This window comes from Homo sapiens, chromosome X (assembly GCF_000001405.40).
Source record: "Homo sapiens chromosome X, GRCh38.p14 Primary Assembly".
NCBI classification, from domain to species: Eukaryota; Metazoa; Chordata; class Mammalia; order Primates; family Hominidae; genus Homo; species Homo sapiens.
In genome coordinates, this window is record NC_000023.11 from 1,266,278 (window position 1) to 1,286,070 (window position 19,793).

General features: G+C 49.5%; 1 protein-coding gene across 38 annotated transcripts in view; it reads left to right on the plus strand.

Moving 5' to 3' along the window:
* The window catches only part of CSF2RA (colony stimulating factor 2 receptor subunit alpha), a 56,405-nt gene continuing 39,148 nt past the window's right edge, over positions 2,537 to 19,793 (plus strand). For 11 of the 38 annotated variants that reach the window (NR_027760.3, NM_001379163.1, NM_001379164.1 and 8 more), the window contains exons 1-4: positions 2,537 to 2,602; positions 8,478 to 8,565; positions 16,401 to 16,502; positions 19,501 to 19,643. Coding sequence is in view for 36 of the 38 variants with exons in the window: in NM_001379163.1 (NP_001366092.1) it covers positions 16,427 to 16,502; positions 19,501 to 19,643 (219 nt within the window). In the remaining 2 variants the exon portion in view is untranslated. Of the gene's footprint in view, positions 2,603 to 6,562; positions 6,685 to 8,477; positions 8,566 to 15,958; positions 16,284 to 16,400; positions 16,503 to 16,525; positions 16,766 to 19,500; positions 19,644 to 19,793 lie in introns of those variants that run through there. The other 27 variants (NM_001379159.1, XM_047441851.1, NM_001379165.1 and 24 more) reach the window with 8 other exon arrangements.

Genomic DNA, 19,793 nt, shown 5'->3' on the forward strand with positions numbered 1-19,793 from the left:
AACATGAATGGACTAAGACAGCTCCTGCAGGAATGGGGAGGCTAAGACGGTAGAGGTGCAGCCTGGTCAGCCATCTTTCACCTTTGCTGATGTTGCTATCCAGGTGTTTTCCATTGCATGTGCATGAAGCCCTATGCTTTGTTTAGGCGCCAACTGTTAGTATCGTAACACATGTCCAGTCTGTTTGGTTGTTTTTTTTGAGACGGAGTTTTGCTCTTGTTGCCCAGGCTGGAGGGCAATGGCACCATCTCAGCTCACTGCAACCTCCATCTCCTGGGTTCAAGGGATTCTCCTGCCTCAGCCTCCTGAGTAGCTGGGATTACAGGCACTCGCCACCACGCCTGGCTAATTTTTGTATTTTTTTTTTTTTAGTGAGCCACTGCCCCTGGCCTGCGTGATGTTTCTTATGATTTTGTAGACAGCACAAAAGGCATCTGTATTTGTGTGTGTGCAAGTGTCTGTGCAGGTGTGTGTACACCAATATGCTTGTGCAGAGGCGTGTGCAGATGTGTGTGTAGTTGTGTGTATGGATAGGTGCACTGTGTGCAGGTGTGTGGGGATGTGTGTGTGCAGGTCTGTGTGTGCAGACATGCACGTGTATGCAGGTGTGTGTGTGTGTACAGATGTGTGTGCAGGTGTGTGTGCAGATGTGTGTGTAGTTGTGTGTATGCACATGTGCATTGTGTGCAGGTGTGTGGGGATGTGTGTGTGCAGGTCTGTGTGTGCAGACATGCATGTGTATGGAGGTGTGTGTACAGACGTGCGTGTAGGTGTGTGTGCATGTGTGTGTGTGCAGATGTGTGTATGCACATGTGCACTGTGTGCAGGTGTGTGAGGATGTGTGTGTGCAGGTCTGTGTGTGCAGACATGCGTGTGTGTGCAGGTCTGTGTGTGCAGACATGCATGTGTATGCAGGTGTGTGTGTGTACAGATGTGTGTGCAGGTGTGTGTTTGCAGATGTGTGTGCAGATGTGCATGTGTCCTTGTGTATATGCACATGTGCACTGTGTGCAGGTGTGTGTGTGTACAGATATGTGTGCAGGTGTGTGTGCAGATGTGCTTGTGTACAGATGTGTGTGTGTAGTTCTATGTACGCCCATGTGCACTGTGTGCAGGTGTGTGGGGATGTGTGTGTGCAGGTCTGTGTGTGCAGTTGTGTGTGCAGACATGCATGTGTGTGCAGGTGTGTGTGCAGGTGTGCGTGTGTAGACAAGTGTGTGTGTGCCATTGTGCTTGTTTGTGCAGACGTACGTGCAGGTGTGTGTGCAGATGTGTGTGTGTAGCTGTGTGTACACACATGTGCCCTGTGTGCAGGTGTGTGGGGATGTGTGCGCACGTCTGTGTGTGCAGACATGCATGTGCCTGCAGGAAAGTGGGGATGTGTGAGTGTGCAGGTCTGTGTGTGCAGATGTGTTTGCAGACGTATGTGTGTGCAGGTGTGTGTGCAGGACTGTGCCAGTGTGCTTGTTTGTGCAGATGTGTGTGCAGATGTGTGTGTAGCTGTGTGTACGCCCGTGTGCACTGTGTGCAGGTGTGTGGGGATGTGTGTGCAGTTGTGTGTGCAGACATGCATGTGTGTGCAGGTGTGTGCGCAGATGTGTGTGTAGTTGTGTGTATGCACATGTGCATTGTGTGCAGGTGTGTGGGGATGTGTGTGCAGGTCTGTGTGTGCAGATGTGTGTGCAAACATGCATGTGTGTGCAGGTGTGTGTGCAGATGTGCGTGTGTAGACAAGTGTGTGTGCCATTGTGCTTGTTTGTGCAGACGTACGTGCAGGTGTGTGTGCAGATGTGTGTGTGTAGCTGTGTGTACACACATGTGCCCTGTGTGCAGGTGTGTGGGGATGTGTGCGCACGTCTGTGTGTGCAGACATGCATGTGCCTGCAGGAAAGTGGGGATGTGTGAGTGTGCAGGTCTGTGTGTGCAGATGTGTGTGCAGACATGTATGTGTGTGCAGGTGTGTGTGCAGGACTGTGCCAGTGTGCTTGTTTGTGCAGATGTGTGTGCAGATATGTGTGTAGCTGTGTGTATGCCCATGTGCACTGTGTGCAGGTGTGTGGGGATGTGTGTGTGCAGGTCTGTGTGTGCAGTTGTGTGTGCAGACATGCATATGTGTGCAGGTGTGTGTGCAGATGTGTGTGTAGCTGTGTGTACGCCCGTGCGCACTGTGTGCAGGTGTGTGGAGATGTGTGTGTGTGCAGGTCTGTGTGTGCAGGTGTGTGTGCAAACATGCACACGCGTGCAAGCATGTGTGCAGGAGTGTGTGTGCACGTGTGTGCGGGCGTGTGGGAATGTGTGCGTGTGCAGGTCTGTGTGTGCAGATGTGTGTGCAGACATACATGTGTGTGCAGGTGTGTGTGTGTAGATGTGTGTGGGACTCACACTTGAGCTGTTCCACGGGCCAGTCTTTGGAGACGAGGTCAGGAGCCAATGAACTCACGGAGCAATTACAGGTTTCCCAATCCTATGAAATGAGGAAGCAGGGGAGGGAGGGGCAGGGAGTGTATGATGACACAGAGGAACTCTGAAGGGAGCTACTCAGAAGCGGGAGTCTCCGAGAGAAGAAAAGCAGGTGGAAGGAGAGGAAGCGGATGCCGTGGGGGTAAGCTAAGTTCTTTCCTTCTGTGGTCTTTGAGCATGTCGAGTCACCCGGGTACATGTTTCTGCTGTGTCTGTCGATAGAAAAGAAAGAGACTGAACTGGAACATAAGATTTCAAACGTTGGCTCGAGCCGAAGTGGGGACAGCGGCCCAGAAGACTGAGAGCCAAGGAACCTTGCATATGAGTTGTCTTCTGCCTTTGTTATATGCAGGTTTTTAAAGGCAAAATTAAAAAAATAAAATAAAATAAAAAGAGGGAGGTGTTGTTGGAGGACAGGGAGGGGGCTTCTGTGAAGCTGTTTGCTGGGAATTCTCGTTGGTTTACAGAAAAAAACAATTGATTAATGATTGGCTGTACATTGCTAAGCTACAGGGCGTTGGGGTGTAGTATCTAGCACGGAATTATCACGTGAATTCACAGCTATCTGTGGCATCCGGAAGCCGTTTCGAGAGATGAACGCGGCCGGGCGTGGTGGCTCACGCCTGTAATCCCAGCACTTTGGGAGACTGAGGCGGGTGGATCACCTGAGGTCGACAGTTCGAGACCATCCTGGCCAACATGGAGAAACCCCGTCTCTACTAAAAATACAAAATTAGCCGGGCATGGTGGTGGCAGGCACCTGTAATCCCACCTACTCAGGAGGCTGAGGCAGGAGAATCGTTTGAACCCGGGAGGCGGAGCTTGCAGTGAGCTGAGATTGCACCACTGCACTCCAGCCTGGGCAACAAGACGAGATTCTGTCTCAAAAAAAAGAAAAAGAAAAAAAAAGAGATGAAAAGAGATGAACGCAGAGCTGAAAGGGGGAGGGAGTGTGATGGTGTTACTAGTTACTAGAAAGGGGTCCTGATCCAGACTTCAAGAACGGGTTCTGGGATCTTGCCCAAGAAAGAACTGGAGGCAAGTTCACATTGCAAACTGAAAGCAAGCTTATTAAGATAGTAAAGGGGGGCCGGGCACGGTGGCTCATGCCTGTAATCCCAACACTTTTGGAGGCTGAGGCGGGCGGATCACCTGAGCTCAGGAGTTCGAGATCAGCTTGGCCAACATGGCAAAACCACACCTTTATTAAAAATAGAAAAAATTAGCTAGGTGTGGCAGTGTGTGCCTGTAATCCCAGCTACTTGGGAGGCTGAGGCAGGAGAATCGCTTGAACCCGGGAGGCGGAGGTTGCAGTGAGCCCAGATTGCACCGTTGCACTCCAGCCTGGGCAACAAGAGCAAAACTCTGTCCCCAAAAAAAGATAACTAAAAGAAAAAAGTCGTGGGGAGAGATGCTCCACTACAAGGGTGACTGATAAAGGATTCATCTTTGTCATGACTATCTTTTGCAGTAATCAATATTGTATATATACATATTATATATTTTTTATTATTATTATTTTGAGATCATCTGGCTGTGTCATCCAGGCTGGAGGGCAGTGGTGCAATCACAGCTGACTGCTGTCTTGAATTCCTGGGCTCAAGCAATCCTCCCATCTCGGCCTCCCGAGTAGCTGGGTCAAAGGCAAATGCCACCATTCCTGGCAAATATTTGTATTTTTGTAGGGACGAGGGTTTCACTGTGTTTCCCGGGCTGGTCTTGAACTCCTAGACTCAATCTATCTTCCTGCCCCAGCCTCCCAAAGTGGTGGGATGACAGGTGTGGGCCACCGCGCCTGGCCCAATATTATCATTTTTAAAGCAAAACGGATTCTCACACTATGAAAGCTTTTGTTCTGAAGATATCAACACATCAGGAGGTTTCTGTGTCTGTTCAGTCCTCGGTCTGTTTAGTAAACAGTATTGATCTGTTCACATATCTTGCGTCAGGAATGGCTGACCTCCAGGGAATGCTGCCCAGCCTGTCCCAGCCTCCCTGTTCCCAGCCCCTATTCTAGATGGAGTCCCTCTAAGCTGGGCGTGGTGTAATCCCAGGACTTTGGGAGGCTGAGGTGGGCGGATCACCTGAGGTCAGGAGTTCGAGACCAGCCTGGCCAACAGGGTGAAACCCCATCTCTACTAAAAATACCCAAAATTAGCCGGGGCGTGGTGGCGGGCGCCTGTAATCCCAATATTTTGGAAGGCTGAGGTGACAGAGGATTGCTTGAGGCCACAGCAATTCCAGACCAGCCCGGGGCAACATCGTAAGATTCCCCCATCCCTCGTGTATAAAAAAAAGATTAAATTATTACAAATTTTAAAAAAGACAGAAATGAAGCATCTTAAGTTACCACCCAGATTGGGGTACTAAGAGTCTGGATTTGGACAGCTTGTTGCGCGTTTTATAGGTGTGCTAAATCACATTTCACTCTTTTTGTTGAGACAGAGTCTCGTGCTGTCGCCCAGGCTGGAGGGCAGTGGCGCGATCTCTGCTCACCGCAACCTCCGCCTCCTGGGTTCAAGCAATTCTCCTGCCTCAGCCTCCTGAGTAGCTGGGATTACAGGCACCTGCCACCACGCCCGGCTAATTTTTGTATTTTTTTTTTTTTTTTTTTTTTTTGGAGACAGCGTCTTGCTCTGTCGCCCAGGCTGGAGTGCAGTGGTGCAATCTCCGCTCACTGCAACCTCCACCTCCCGGGTTCAAGCAATTCTCCTGCATTAGCCTCCTGAGTAGCTAGGATTACAGGCACGTGCCACCATGCCCAGCTAATTTTTGAATTTATTTATTTATTTTTTTGGAGACAGTATCTTGCTCTGTTGCCCAGGCTGGAGTGCAGTGGTGCGATCTCGGCTCACTGTAACCTCCGCCTCCCGGGTTCAAGTGATTCTCCTGCCTCAGCCTCCTGGGTAGCTGGGATTACAGGTGTGTGCTACCATGCCCGGCTAATTTTTGTATTTTTAGTAGGGATGGTGTTTCACCATGTTGGCCAGGCTGGTCTGGAACTCCTGACTTCAAATGATCCGCTCACCTTGACCTCCCAAAGGGCTGGGATTACAGACATGAACCACGGAGCCCGGCCGGATTTCACTCTTTAGATTTTTGGTTTAAACTCGAGAAGCTCTTCTCGAGGGCTGAAAGCTCTTGGTCCCCTGTAGGTTTGCTGTAGATGACAGACATGAGGCAGATTGATTAATAAGAGAAAAGACATGCACTTTTTTTTTCTTTTTTTTTTTTGAGACGGAGTCTCGCTCTGTCACCGAGGCTGGAGTGCACTGGCATGATCTCGGCTCACTGCAACCTCCACCTTCCAGGTTCAACTGATTCTCCTGCCTCAGCCTCTCCAGTAGCTGGGATTACAGGCGTGTGCTACCATGCCTGGCTAATTTTTCTATTTTTAGTAGAGACAGGGTTGTTCCATATTGGTCAGGCTGGTCTCGAACACCTGACCTCAGGTGATCCGCCTGCCTCGGCCTCCCAGTGTGCTAGGATTACAGGCGTGAACCACTGTACCCAGCCAGATTTACACATTTATAGAATGTGTATACACAAGATTCTTCAGAATGAGGACTCCACCCCACAATGAGGTTCAGAAGCTAGTACACCACATTGAGACTACAGAAGGATAGGGGATTGGATCCTGGTACAAAAAAAAAAAGGTTATAGGGTTGGGGGGAAAGAGGAATTCTATTGAGGAGCAATATATAATTTCTACTGCGGACTGAACTCTGATTTTTTTCTTTATTTTATTTTATTTTATTTTATTTTTTTGAGACAGCATCTCACTCTGCCGCCCAGGCTGGAGTGCAGTGGTGCGATCTCAGCTCACTGCAACCTCCACCTCCTGGGTTCACCCGATTTTCCTGCCTCAGCCTCCCGAGTAGCTGCGATTACAGGCACCCGCCACTACGCCCAGCTAATTTTCTTTGTATTTTTAGTAGAGACGGGGTTTCACCATGTTGGCCAGGCTGGTCTTGAACTCCTGACCTCAGGTGATCCAACCTCCTCGGCCTCCCAAAGTGCTGGGATTATACGCATGAGCCACTGCACCTAGCTTCTTCTTTTTCTTTTTTTTTTTCTTTCTTTTTTTCTTTTTTTTTTTTAGATGGAGTCTAACTTTGTCGCCCAGACTGGAGTACAGTGGCACAATCTCAGCTCACCACAGCCTCCACCTCCCAAGGTCAAGCAATTCTCCTGCCTCAGCCTCCCAAGTAGCTGAGATTACAGGCACGTACCACTACTGCCTGAGTAATTTTTGTGTTTTTAGTAGAGACAACATTTCACCAGGTTGGCCAGGCTGGTCTCGAACTCCTGACCTCAAGTGATCCACACGCCTCAGCCTCCCAAAGTGCTAGGATTATAGGCACCAGCCACCACACCGGGCCTCTGACTTTTTTTATCTTGCCCAAATTCCTATCTAAGAGGTCTGAGGAGGCAAGCCCTACAAACCATAAATTCTCATCAAATGGGATTTATTGAACCCTGTATATCGTGACTTACTTTCCAACCTGACTCTGGCAAACGTTACAAGACAGAGAAAAAAAACAACATATGTTGCCCCAAAATATGTTTCTTAGTTGTATTTTTTTTTTCTTTTAAGATGGTCTCATTCTGTTTCCAAGGCTGGAGTGCAGTGGTGCAATCTTGGCTCCCTGCAACCTCCGTCTTCTAGGTTCAAGCGATTCTCCTGCCTCCTCAGCCTTCCAAATAGCTGGCGTAATATGCATGAGCCATCGTGCCCAGATAATTGTTTTTTGTTTTTTGTTTTTTTTTTAGTAGAGATGGGGTTTCACTGTGATGGCCAGGCTGGTCTTGAACTCCTGACCTCAGGTGATCCAACCGCCTCGGCCTCCCAAAGTGCTGGGATTATAGGCGTGAACCACTGCTCCCGGCTGGAGTACAGGGGCATAATCTTGGCTCACTGCAGCCTCTGCTTCCCAGGTTCAAGTGATTCTCCTGCCTCAGTCTCCCGAGTAGCTGGGACTACAGGCGCCCGCCACCACGCCCAGCTAATTTTTTTTTTTTTTTTTGTATTTTTTTTTTTTAGTAGAGATGGGGTTTCACTGTGTTTGCCAGGATGGTCTCGATCTCCTGGCCTCATGATCTGCCCGCCTCGGCCTCCCGAAGTGCTGGGATGACAGGCGTGAGTCACCGCGCCCGGCATGAAAGGGTTTTTCATTAAAAATCCTTGTTATACCGTGGAGCCCTGTGTTGGGGTAAAATATCATGATTTCCCTCACTCTCCATCATTCTTGCTTTGAATCTGAGAAGGAAGCTTGGCGGCCTCTATTTTAGGATCAGCCGAAAATTTCCAGAAAGGGGAAAGAAAACTCATTCTGTAAACACAAAAAAGAAGAAGAGAAAAAAGTATAAGCGGTACAGACAAAACGCAAAGATGTTGCATAATTTTCCGTGAGTGCAAAATGTCCTGTAAACCAAAAAAGAGGTATCTGAGACAGGTCTCAGTCCATTTAGAAAGTTCATTTTGCCGAGGTTAAGGACGCCTGCCCATGACAGAGCCTCAGGAAATCGCGATGACAGGTGCTGTGGATACACAGGGCACAATTTGCTTTCATACATTTTTTTGGCGGGGAGGGAGCTGGGGATCCAGTCTTGTTCTGTCACCCAGGCTGCAGTGCAATGGTGCAATCTCAGCTCACTATCACTGTAACCTCCGCCTCCCGTGTTCAAGCTATTCTCCTGCCACAGCCTTCTGAGTAGCTGGGATTATAGGCACCCACTACCGCGCCCAGCTAATTTTTGTATTTTTAGTAGAGACGGGGTTTCACCATGTTGGCCAGGATGGTCTCGAACTCCTGGCCTCAAATGATCCACCTGCCTCGGCCTCCCAAAGTGCTGGGATTATAGGCGTGAGCCATGGCGCCCAGCCCTGGTATGTAATTTTTAAAACCTTTGTAGTACCTTATTTACGAATAAAATGCGAGGCAGGTTTGCCTAAGACAGTTTCCACTATAACCTTTCATGATTTTGGGGTCCTGAGACTTATTTACCTTTCACAGTTTACAGCAGGAAAATCCGTGGAGACAGCAGATCCGAGAAGCGGCGATGTTTGCGTAGAACCCTGTACGTGCTTCCTTCGGCCTGTCGGTAATGTGGTTGGGGATTTTCTTTTTTTTAAGTGAAGTCTAAAGAACTGAAATGTTTTGCTCCATAATGATGAACCAGGATAGAAGTGAGAACTCAGGGCAGAAGAATCTGAATGAGGAACTGTCTGACCTATGACAAATTTAACATGTCACGTTCCCTCTGAGACAGTACACATCCTCCTGAAGCAGCGTGACAAGGCACATCCTCCTGAAGGGTCTCCAGGCAGAAGAGACGCATGAACCTGTCAAAAAAAAAAAAAAAAAGAGCCGGCCGGGCGCAGTGGCTCAAGCCTGTAATCCCAGCACTGTGGGAGGCTGAGGCGGGGGGATCATGAGGTCAGGAGTTCCAGACCAGCCTGGCCAACATGGTGAAACCCCATCTCTGCTAAAAATACAAAAATTAGCCGGGTGTAGTGGCAGTTGCCTCTAGTCCCAGCTACTCCGGAGGCCGAGGCAGGAGAATCGCTTGAACCCAGGAGGCGTAGGTTGCAGTGAGCCAAGATCGCGCCACTGCACTCCAGCCTGGGCAACAGAGCGACAGTCCGTCCCAAACACTGCAAAATATTTAAAGAGATTTATTCTGAGCCAAATATGAGTGAGCAAGAAGGCCCAGGGAAAATAGTCTAAAGAGATCCTGAGAACACGTATCCAAGCTGGTTGAGCGGCAGTTTGGTTTTATATGTTTTTGTTTGTTTACTTATTTTACTTTATTTTATTTATTTATTTATTTATTTTGAGATGAAGCCTTGCTCAGTCTGTTAGGCTGGAGTGCAGTGGCGCGATCTCGGCTCACTGCAACCTCCGCCTCCCGGGTTCACGCCATTCTCCTGCCTCAGCCTCCCGAGTAGCTGGGACTACAGGCGCCCACCACCATGCCCAGCTAATTTTTTGTATTTTTAGTAGAGAAGGGGTTTCACCGTGTTAGCCAGGATGGTCTCGATCTCCTGACTTCGTGATCCGCCCGCCTCAGCCTCCCAAAGTGTTGGGATTACAGGCACCCGCCACCACGCCCGGCCAATTTTTGTATTTTTAGTAGCGACGGGGTTTCACCATGTTGGCCAGGCTGGTCTCAAACTTGTGACCTCACATGATCTGCTCACCTCGGCCTCCCAAAGTGCTGGGATTACAGGCGTAAGCCACAGCGTCCAGCTATTTTATTTTATTTGTTTTATTTTTTGTGACAGAGTCTCACTCTGTCGCCCAGGCTGGAGTGCAGTGGAGCGATCTCAGCTCACTGCAACCTCTGCCTCCGGAGCTGAAGCAATTCTCCCGCCTCAGCCTCCCAAGTAGCTGGCATTACAGAGGTACGCCACCACGCCTGGCTAAATTTTGTTTGTTTGTTTGTTTGTTTGTTTGTTTGTTTTTGTTTTTCAGTAGACACAGGGTTTCACTATGTTGGCCAGGCTGGTCTCGAACTCCTGACCTCACATGATCTGCCTGCCTCAGCCTCCAGAAGTACTGGGATTACAGCCGTGAGCCACCTCACCCAGCCAGCAGCTTGGTTTTATGTTTGTTTATATATTTATTTATTTATTTATTTTTAATTTTTGGAGACGGAGTCTTGCTCTGTTGCCTGGGCTGGAGTGCAGTGGCATGATCTTGGCTCACGGCAACCTCTGCCTTTCGAGTTCCAGTGATTCTCCTGCCTCAGCCTCGCGAGTAGCTGGGAGTACAGGCGCCCGCCATCACACCCGGCTAGTATTTGTATTTTTAGTAGAGAGAGGGTTTCACCGTATTGTCCAGGCTGGTCTTGAACTCCTGTCCTCAAGTGATCCACCCACCTGAGCCTCTCAAAGTGCTGGGATTGCAGGCGTGAGCCTCTGTGGCCAGCCAACAGACAGTTTTGCAGGACCATTTCAAAATATGTCAAGTAAATATATTTTGGGGTGAAATGTATTTTAAAGTGGCATATACTGATTTCCCACAGTCTTGTCTGGGGAGGCATATCCTGGCCTCCTAGAAAGCATACACAGTAGCAGACAGGTGTGGTGGCTCACGCCTGCAATCCCAGCCCTTTGGGAGGCCGAGGCAGGTGGATCACAAGGTCAGGAGATCGAGACCATCCTGGCCAACATGGTGAAATGCTATCTCTACTAAAAATACAAAAATTAGCTGGGCGTGGTGGTGCATGCCTGTAATCCCAGCTACTCGAGAGGCTGAGGCAGGAGGACCACTTGAACCTGGCAGGTGGAGGTTGCAGTGAGCTGAGATCACGCCACTGCACTCCAGCCTGGGAGACAGAGCGAGGCTCCGTCTCTAAATAAATAAATAAAGCTTACGCAGTAGCTGAGAAGACAGGGAAAAGAGGTGAAGAAATGACAGAAAGCTTAGAAGTCGCTCATTATAACCCCTTCCTACCCCATCTCATGCTTCCCTTAAAGCATAAACGAAGGGTGCTTGTGTTACAGGAAAGGGGTTCGGATCCAGCCCCCAAGAGGGGGTTCTTGGATCTCACGCAAGAAAGAATTCAGGGCGGCCGGGCGCTGTGGCTCACACCTGTAATCCCAGCACCTTGGGAGGCAGAGGCGGGCGGATCACGAGGTCAGGAGTTCGAGACCAGCCTGACCAACATGGTGAAACCCCATCTCTACTAAAAATACAAAAATTAGCCAGGTGTGGTGGTGCGTGCCTGTAGTCCCAGCTACTCGGGAGACAGAGGCAAGAGAATGGCGTGAACCCGGGAGGCGATGCTTGCAGTGAGTGGAGATCATGCCACTACACTCCAGCCTGGGCGATAGAGTAAGTCCATCTCAAAAAAAAAAAAAAAAAAAAAAAATTCGGGGTGAGTCAGCAGTGCAAAGCCAAAGCAAATTTATTACAAAAGTAAAACAGTGAAAGAATAGCTACTCCAGAGGCCGGGCGCAGTGGCTCATGCCTGTAATCCCAGCACTTTGGGAGGTGGAGGTGGGCAGATCACCTGAGGTCAGGAGTTCGAGACCAGCCTGACCAACATGGTGAAACCCCATCTCTACTAAAAATACAAAAATTAGCCAGGCATGGTGGTGCGTGCCTGTAGTCCCAGCTACTCGGGAGGCTGAGGCAGTAGAATTGCTTCAACTTGGGAGACGGAGGTTGCAGTGAGCCGAGATGGCACCACTGCACTCCAGCCTGGGCAACAGAATGAGACTCAGTCTCAAAAAAAAAAAAAAAAATTTCAGGGCGAGCAAGTTTATTATGAAAGTAAAATAGTGAAAGACTAGGTACTCCAGAGGCCAGGCGCAGTGGCTCATGCCTATAATCCCAGCACTTTGGGAGCCCGAGGCAGGTGGATCACCTGAGGTCAGGAGTTCGAGACCAGCCTCGCCAACATGGTGAAACCCCATCTCTACTAAAAATACAAAAATTAGCCAGGCATGGTGGTGCGTGCCTGTAGTCCCAGCTACTTGGAGGCTGAGGCAGTAGAATTGCTTCAACTTGGGAGACGGAGGTTGCAGTGAGCCAAGATGGCACCACTGCACTCCAGCCTGGGCGACAGAATGAGACTCAGTCTCAAAAAAACAAAAGATTTCAGGGCGAGCAAGTTTATTATGAAAGTAAAGTAGTGGAAGACTAGCTACTCCAGAGGCCAGGTGCAGTGGCTCATGCCTATAATCCCAGCACTTTGGGAGCCCGAGGCAGGTGGATCACCTGAGGTCAGGATTTCGAGACCAGCCTCGCCAACATGGTGAAACCCCATCTCTACTAAAAATACAAAAATTAGCCAGGCGTGTTGGTGCGTGCCTGTAGTCCCAGCTACTCGGAGGCTGAGGCAGTAGAATTGCTTCAACTTGGGAGACGGAGGTTGCAGTGAGCCGAGATGGCACCACTGCACTCCAGCCTGGGTGACAGAATGAGACTCAGTCTAAAAAAAAAAAAAATTCAGGGCAAGCAAGTTTATTATGAAAGTAAAATAGTGAAAGACTAGGTAATCCAGAGGCTGGGTGCAGTGGCTCATGCCTATAATCCCAGCACTTTGGGAGCCCAAGGCATGTGGATCACCTGAGGTCAGAAGTTCGAGACCAGCCTGGCCAACATGGTGAAACCCCATCTCTACTAAAAATACAAAAATTAGCCAGGCGTGTTGGTGCGTGCCTGTAGTCCCAGCTACTCGGAGGCTGAGGCAGTAGAATCACTTGAACCTAGGAGACAGAGGTTGCAGTGAGCCGAGATGGCGCCACTGTACTCCAGCCTGGGCGACAGAGTGAGACTCCATCTCCAAAAAATAAATAAATAAGTCAACCAAGAAGGCCGTACGTACAGTGGCTCACACCTGTCATCCCATCACTTTGGGAGGCCGAGGCAGGGGGATTACTTGAGATCAGGAGTTTGAGACCAGCCTGGCCAACATGGTGAAACCCCGTCTCTACTAAAAATACAAAAATTAGCCAGGCGTGTTGGTGCGTGCCTGTAGTCCCAGCTACTCGGAGGCTGAGGCAGTAGAATGGCTTCAACTTGGGAGACGGAGGTTGCAGTGAGCCGAGATGGCACCACTGCACTCCAGCCTGGGCGACAGAGCAAGACCGTCTACAAAATAATAATAATAATTAATAATAATAATAATAACTAGTGCAAGAGAAGTACACAAATATCCCAAACATTTAGTGACTCAGCAGAGGGGGCCAGTCTCAAGGAACAGGACTTCTACACCTGTTACCACCACCTGGGGAGTTGTATCTGAATCTCAAGGTCAGGCCCACCCAGACAGAACATGCATCTCTAGGGTGCCACAGGAGAGTCTGTCCAGTGCCCAGAAACACCTGCAAGACCCAGAAGCAGGCTCCAAGAAGCGGGGTGCCACAGTCCAGTGGGGGAAGCGGCCACATCCCTGTCATGTGGGCTACAGATGAGTTGGGGGGCAGGGGCAGGAGAAGAAGAAACAGGTGTGGCCTACATGCTTTTACTTCCTCTTAGCAAGCGAGGTTCCTCTTGCAGAGGAACGGTCTGAGAGACACAACCGTTTTTTTTTTTTGTTTGTTTGCTTTTCCTTGAGACAGAGTCTCCCTCTGTCACCCAGGCTGGAGGGCAGTGGCGCGATCTCGGCTCACTGCAGCCTCCACCTCCTGGGTTCAAGCGATTCTCCTGCCTCAACCTCCCGAGTAGCTGGGATTACAGGCACCCACCACCCCACCCGGCTAATTTTTGTATTTCTAGTATAGATGAGGTTTCACCGTATTAGCCAAGCTGGTCCCGAACTCCTGACCTCAGGCGATCCGCCTGCCTTGGCCTCCCAAAGTGCTGGGATTACAGGCGTGAGCCACTGTGCCCGGCCGAGAGACGCAATCTTTCAGAGAGGAGGTTTGGAGCAGGAACCTCAGGGTGGACAGATGGGTCCCACCAGGTGCAGATGCTTGAACTAAAGATGCTACAAAGGCCGGGTGCAGTGGTTCATGCCTGTAATTCCAGCAGTTTGAGAAGCTGAGGCAGGCAGATCATCTGAGGTCAGGAGTTCGAGCCCAGCCTGGCCAACATGGCAAAACAGCGTCTCTACTAAAAATGCAAAATTAGCCTGGCATAATGGCGGGCGCCTATAATCCCAGCTACTTGGGAGGCCGAGGCAGGAGAATCGCTTGAACCCGGGAGGCGGAGGTTGCAGTGAGCCAAGATTGCACCACTGCACTCCAGCCTGGGTGACAAGAGTGAAACTCCGTCTCAAAAAAAAAAAAAAAAAAAGAAGAAGAAGAAAAGAAATACATTAGTTTGGTCCATAAAGGCGGGACAACTCAAAGTGGGGGCTTCCAGGCTATAAATGAATTTAAACATTTTCTGGTTGACAATTGGTTGAGTTTGTAGCTCCTCCTCCTTCTCTTCTTCCTCCTCCTTCTCCCCCCTTCCTCCTCTTCCTCCTCTTCCTCCTCCTCCTTCTTCTTCTCTTCTTTCTTCTTCTTCTCTTTCCCCTTCTTCTTCTTCTTCCTCCTCCTTCTCCTCCTCCTTTTTCTTCTTCTTCCTTATGGGCTTGGATAGAAGTATATTGACATGGATCCACCATTTGTAGAATCATACCGAGTAGCTTCTTTTCTCCTCCTTCCTCTCCTTCTCCTCCTCCTCCTCCTCCTTCTCCTGCTCCTTCTCCTCCTCCTCCTCCTGCTCCTTCTCCTCCTCCTCCTCCTTCTCCTCCTCCTCCTCCTGCTTCTCCTCCTCCTCCTTCTCCTCCTCCTGCTTCTCCTCCTCCTCCTTCTCCTCCTCCTCCTTCTCCTCCTCCTCCTTCTCCTCCTCCTCATTCTCCTCCTGCTCCCCTTCTCCTCCTCCTTCTCCTCCTCCTCCTTCTCCTCCTGCTCCCCTTCTCCTCCTCCTTCTCCTCCTCCTCCTCCTCCTGCTCCTCCTCCTCCAGCTCCCCTTCTCCTCCTACTCCTCCTTCTCCTCCTTCTCCTTCTCCTCCTTCTCCTACTCCTCCTTCTCCTACTCCTCCTTCTCCTACTCCTCCTTCTCCTCTTCCTTCTTCTCCTCCTCCTGCTCCTTCTCCTCCTCTTCCTCCTACTCCTCCTTCTCTTCCTTCTCCTCCTCCTCCTTCTCCTCCTCCTCCTTCTCCTCTTCCTCCTTCTCCTCCTCCTCCTTCTCCTCCTCCTCCCTCTCCTCCTCCTCCGCCTTCTCCTACTCCTCCTTCTCCTCCTCCTTCTTCTCCTCCTCCTGCTCCTTCTCCTCCTCCTCCTTCTCCTCCTGCTCCTTCTCCTCCTCTTCCTCCTACTCCTCCTTCTCTTCCTTCTCCTCCTCCTCCTTCTCCTCCTCCTGCACCTTTCCTCCTCCTCCTTCTTTTTCCTTTTTTGCATAAAGAAGTATCAAATAAGAGTAGTTTCACTGCCCTAAACATCCTCTGAGGTCCATGTATTCATCCCTCCATCTGCCCAACGCCAACCAACTCCGGATCTTTTTACTGTTTCCATGATTTTGTCTTTTCCACAGTGTCCAAGTGTTAGAATGACTCAGTCTGCAGCCATCTCAAAGTGGATTCTTTCCCTTAGTCATAAGTATTTAAACTTCATTCATGTCGTTTTATGTACTCACCCTTTTTTTCTTCCTCTTCTTTTTTTTTTTTTTTTCACTTTCCTTTTATAGCTGTTGCAAAAGTCAAGATTTTTTAAAAAATATAAAAGAGCAGGGCCGGGCACGGTGGCTCACGCCTGTAATCCCAGCACTTTGGGAGGCCGAGGCAGGTGGATCACGAGGTCAGGAGATGGAGACCATCCTGGCTAACACGGTGAAAGCCTGTTTCTACTAAAAAAAAAAAAAAAAAAAAAAAATTAGCTGGGTGTGGTGGCAGGCGCCTGTAGTCCCAGCTACTTGGGAAGCTGAGGCAGGAGAATGGTGTGAACCTGGGATGTGGAGGTTGCAGTGAGCCGAGATCGCGCCACTGCACTCCAGCCTGGGTGACAGAGCGTGACTTTGTCTCAAAAAAGAAAAAAAAAGTACAAAAGAGCAAAACAAAACAAAAGTTATGAAAATGAAAACCTGAGCCATCGTTTATCTTATTTCCCCAAATCCACTAATTATTAACAGAAAGTAAAAGCTATGAAAAATGAATGAAAGTGACTGCAATTTCCTTGAAGTGTGTTAGAACCTGCCTTTAGTGTCAGCTATGGGTTCCCTCATGAAGGTCAGCTGAGCCATGACCCATGAACCATGGAAGCTTGACTCTAGATTGACCATCTTGAGATGCCAAAGATGTCCACGTCCTAATCCCATGTGGGAGACAGAATAATGGCCCTGCAGACCTTCCCAGCTGGCCATGACCCCTCATTTGACCAGGTCAGCGGCTGACCACCATCCTGGGTTTGTTTCCCCAAATCACCTCCCTGGGGTCCCCTGCCAGGAATGTCCTGGGAGAGGCAACCTTCTCACTGTGTGATATTTTCTCTCCTGCAGCTCTTCCCTTCTCTCTGACCAGCACCATGCTTCTCCTGGTGACAAGCCTTCTGCTCTGTGAGTTACCACACCCAGCATTCCTCCTGATCCCAGAGAAATCGGGTAAGTATGGAAACCTGGCTGAACCTTCTCCGCGGCCCCTGTTTAGATGTCCTGCATCTGGAGACCCATCTGGATACCTGGGTCCATCTGCATTTCATCTCTAATGTTTATGAGGGACCCAATAAGCACCAGCCAACCCACCAGAAGCTCAGAGCTCCTCTTGTTCTCACCTCCTTTTCTGCTGTTAATTCCCATCCACCCATTCTACAGATGAGAAAACGGAGGCTCAGATACCTCCACAGTTTAACCCAACGACCATCCAGGTAGTGATGGGGCCAGGATGAGGACCCATGTCTGCATGGGGCCAAAGTGTTCCTTCCTTCCTTCGTTCCTTCGTTCCTTCGTTCCTTCCTTCCTTCCTTCCTTCCTTCCTTCGTTCCTTCCTTCGTTCCTTCCTTCCTTCCTTCCTTCCTTCCCTCCCTTGCTTCCTTCTCTTCCTCCTGCCCTCCCTCTTTCCATCCTTCCTTCTCTCCTTCCTTCCATCCTTCTCTCCCTCCTGATTCATTTCTTCTCTTTCTTTCTCTTCCTTCCTTCCCTCCTTCCCTTTCTCTCTTTCTTCCTTCCATTGTTTCCTTCTTTCCTTCCTTCTTCCGTCCCTCCCTTCTTTCTTTCTCTTTCTTCCTTCCCTCCTTCCCTCTCTCTCTTTCTTCCTTCCATTGTTTTTCTTTCTTTCCTTCCTTCCCTCCCTCCCTCCCTCTCTCTCTCTCTTTCTTTCTTTCTTTCTCCTTTTTTTTTCTCCTTCTTTGTTTCTTTCTTCCTCTTTCTTCTTTCTTTCTTTCTTTCTTTCCTTCTTTCTTTTTCTTTCTTTTCAGAGTCTCCCTCTTGTTGCCCAGGCTGGAGTGCAATGGCTCAATCTCAGCTCACTGCAAACTCAGCCTCCCGGGTTCAAGCGATTCTCCTGCCTCAGCCTCCCGAGTAGCTGGGATTACAGGCGCCTGCCACCAGGCCCAGCTAATTTTTTTGTATTTTTAGTAGAGATGGGGTTTTGTCATGTTGGCCAGGCTGGTCTCAATCTCCTGGCCTCAGGTGATCCCGTGCCTCGGCCTCCCAAAGTGCTAGGATTACAGCTATGAGCCGCCACACCCAGCCTCTTGTTTGTTGACTTCTTAATAGCAGCCATTGTGACTGGCGTGGAATGATAGCTCATTGTGGTTTTGATTTGCGTTTCCGGGAGGGACCCTCTTGACTGAGGGTGTCAGGGCCTCTGCTTCAGGAAAGTATTTCCAGGTTTTTGTGACCTGGTTCAGGGAAGACAGACAAAGACAGCTTTCTGTTTCTGCAATTTTCTCAAATTCCTTCAGCTTTATATTAAACTGCCAAGGTTCCATAATTTGGGAAGTGTGTTCAGAGCCACATCACTCTGGATAAAGAGCCTTTGCCTGTTCTCATTCAAGCGGTTTTCTTTCTCTGTCTCTCTTTTTTTTTTTTTTTTTTTTTTTTTTGAGACAGGATCTCGCTCTGTCTCCCAGGCTGGAGTGCAGTGGCGTGATCTCGGCTCACTGCAGCCTCAGCTTTCTGGGATCAAGTATCCTCCCACTCCAGCCTCCCAAGTAGCTGGGACTGCAGAAATACACCACCATGCCAAGCTAATTTAAATTTTTTTTTTAATTTTATAGAGGAGATCTTGCTATGTTGCCAAGACTAGTTTTTGATTTTTTTTTTTTTTTGAGATGGAGTCTTACTCTGTCACCCAGGCTGGAGTGCAGTGGCGCGATCTCGGCTCACTGCAGCCTCAGCTTTCTGGGATCAAGTATCCTCCCACTCCAGCCTCCCAAGTAGCTGGGACTGCAGAAATACACCACCATGCCAAGCTAATTTAAATTTTTTTTTTTTTAAATTTTATAGACGAGATCTTGCTATGTTGCCAAGACTAGTTTTTGATTTTTTTTTTTTTTTTTTTTTTGAGATGGAGTCTTACTCTGTCTCCCAGGCTGGAGTGCAGTGGCGCGATCTCGGCTCATTGCAACCTCCACCTCCCGGGTTCAACCGATTCTCCTGCCTCAGCCTCCTGAGTAGCTGGGATTACAGGTACCCGCCACCATGTCCACCTAATTTTTTTGTATTTTTAGTAGAGACAGGGTTTCACCACATTGGCCAGGCTGGTCTCGAACTGCTGACCTCAGGTGATCCGCCCACCTCAGCCTACCAAAGTGCTGGGATTGCAGGCATGAGCCACCGCGCCTGGCCAGTTTTTGATGATTTCTGCAGTAAACATCTCCATGTGGAGAAGGAGCAAGCTGGGACCACAGATGTGCACCATCACACCTGCCTAATTTAAATTTTTAAAAAAAAATTTTTTTTAAAGAGATGCGATCTTGCTATGTTGCCCAGGCGGGATCTGAACCTACTGGGCTCAAGTCAGCTTTTTGCCTCAGCCTCCCAAGGTGCTGGGATTAGAGGCGTGAGCCACCACCCCCAGTCTTCAGATGATTTTTGAATATTTCTGCAGTAGAAATCTCCTTTTTCAGAAACAGCCAGGGGGCTGTGAAAAGGAGGGAAGATGGACAAGGGAGGAACAGATACCTGAGGATGTGGGACGTCCTGGGGCCATGTGGGTGACAGAGGAAAATCAGCAGGCTTCAGCCCTGAACTTCACCTCCCAGAGCCGGGTGGGAGGACAGAAAACAGGGCCGGCCGGGCACGGTGGCTCACGCCTGTTATCCCAGCACTTCGGGAGGCTGAGGCAGGCGGATCACCTGAGGTCGGCAGTTCGAGACCAGCCTGACCAACATGGTGAAACCCCCATCTCTACTAAAAATACAAAAATTAGCTGGGCATGGTGGTCGGCGCCTGTCATCCCAGCTACTCGGGAGGCTGAGGCAGGAGAATCATTTGAACCCGGGTGGTGGAGCTTGCAGCTTGCAGTGACCTGAGATCACAGCACTGCACTCCAGCCTGGGAGACAAAGCCAGACTCCGTCTCAAAAAAAAAAAAAAAAAAAAAAAAAAAAAAGGAAAAGAAAAGAGGAAATTCTGAACCCAGTGCCCGCTCCTTGCAGATCTGCGAACAGTGGCACCAGCCTCTAGTCTCAATGTGAGGTTTGACTCCAGGACGATGAATTTAAGCTGGGACTGCCAAGAAAACACAACCTTCAGCAAGTGTTTCTTAACTGACAAGAAGAACAGAGTCGTGGAACCCAGGGTGAGACGAATTTCCCATTCTCAACCCCTGTCCTTTACACACCCCTTTCTGAGTTAAAAGCAACAGGGCCGGCTGGGCGCGGCGGCTCACGCCTGTCATCCCAGCACTTTGGGAGGCTGAGGTGGGCGGATCACCTGAGGTCGGGAGTTC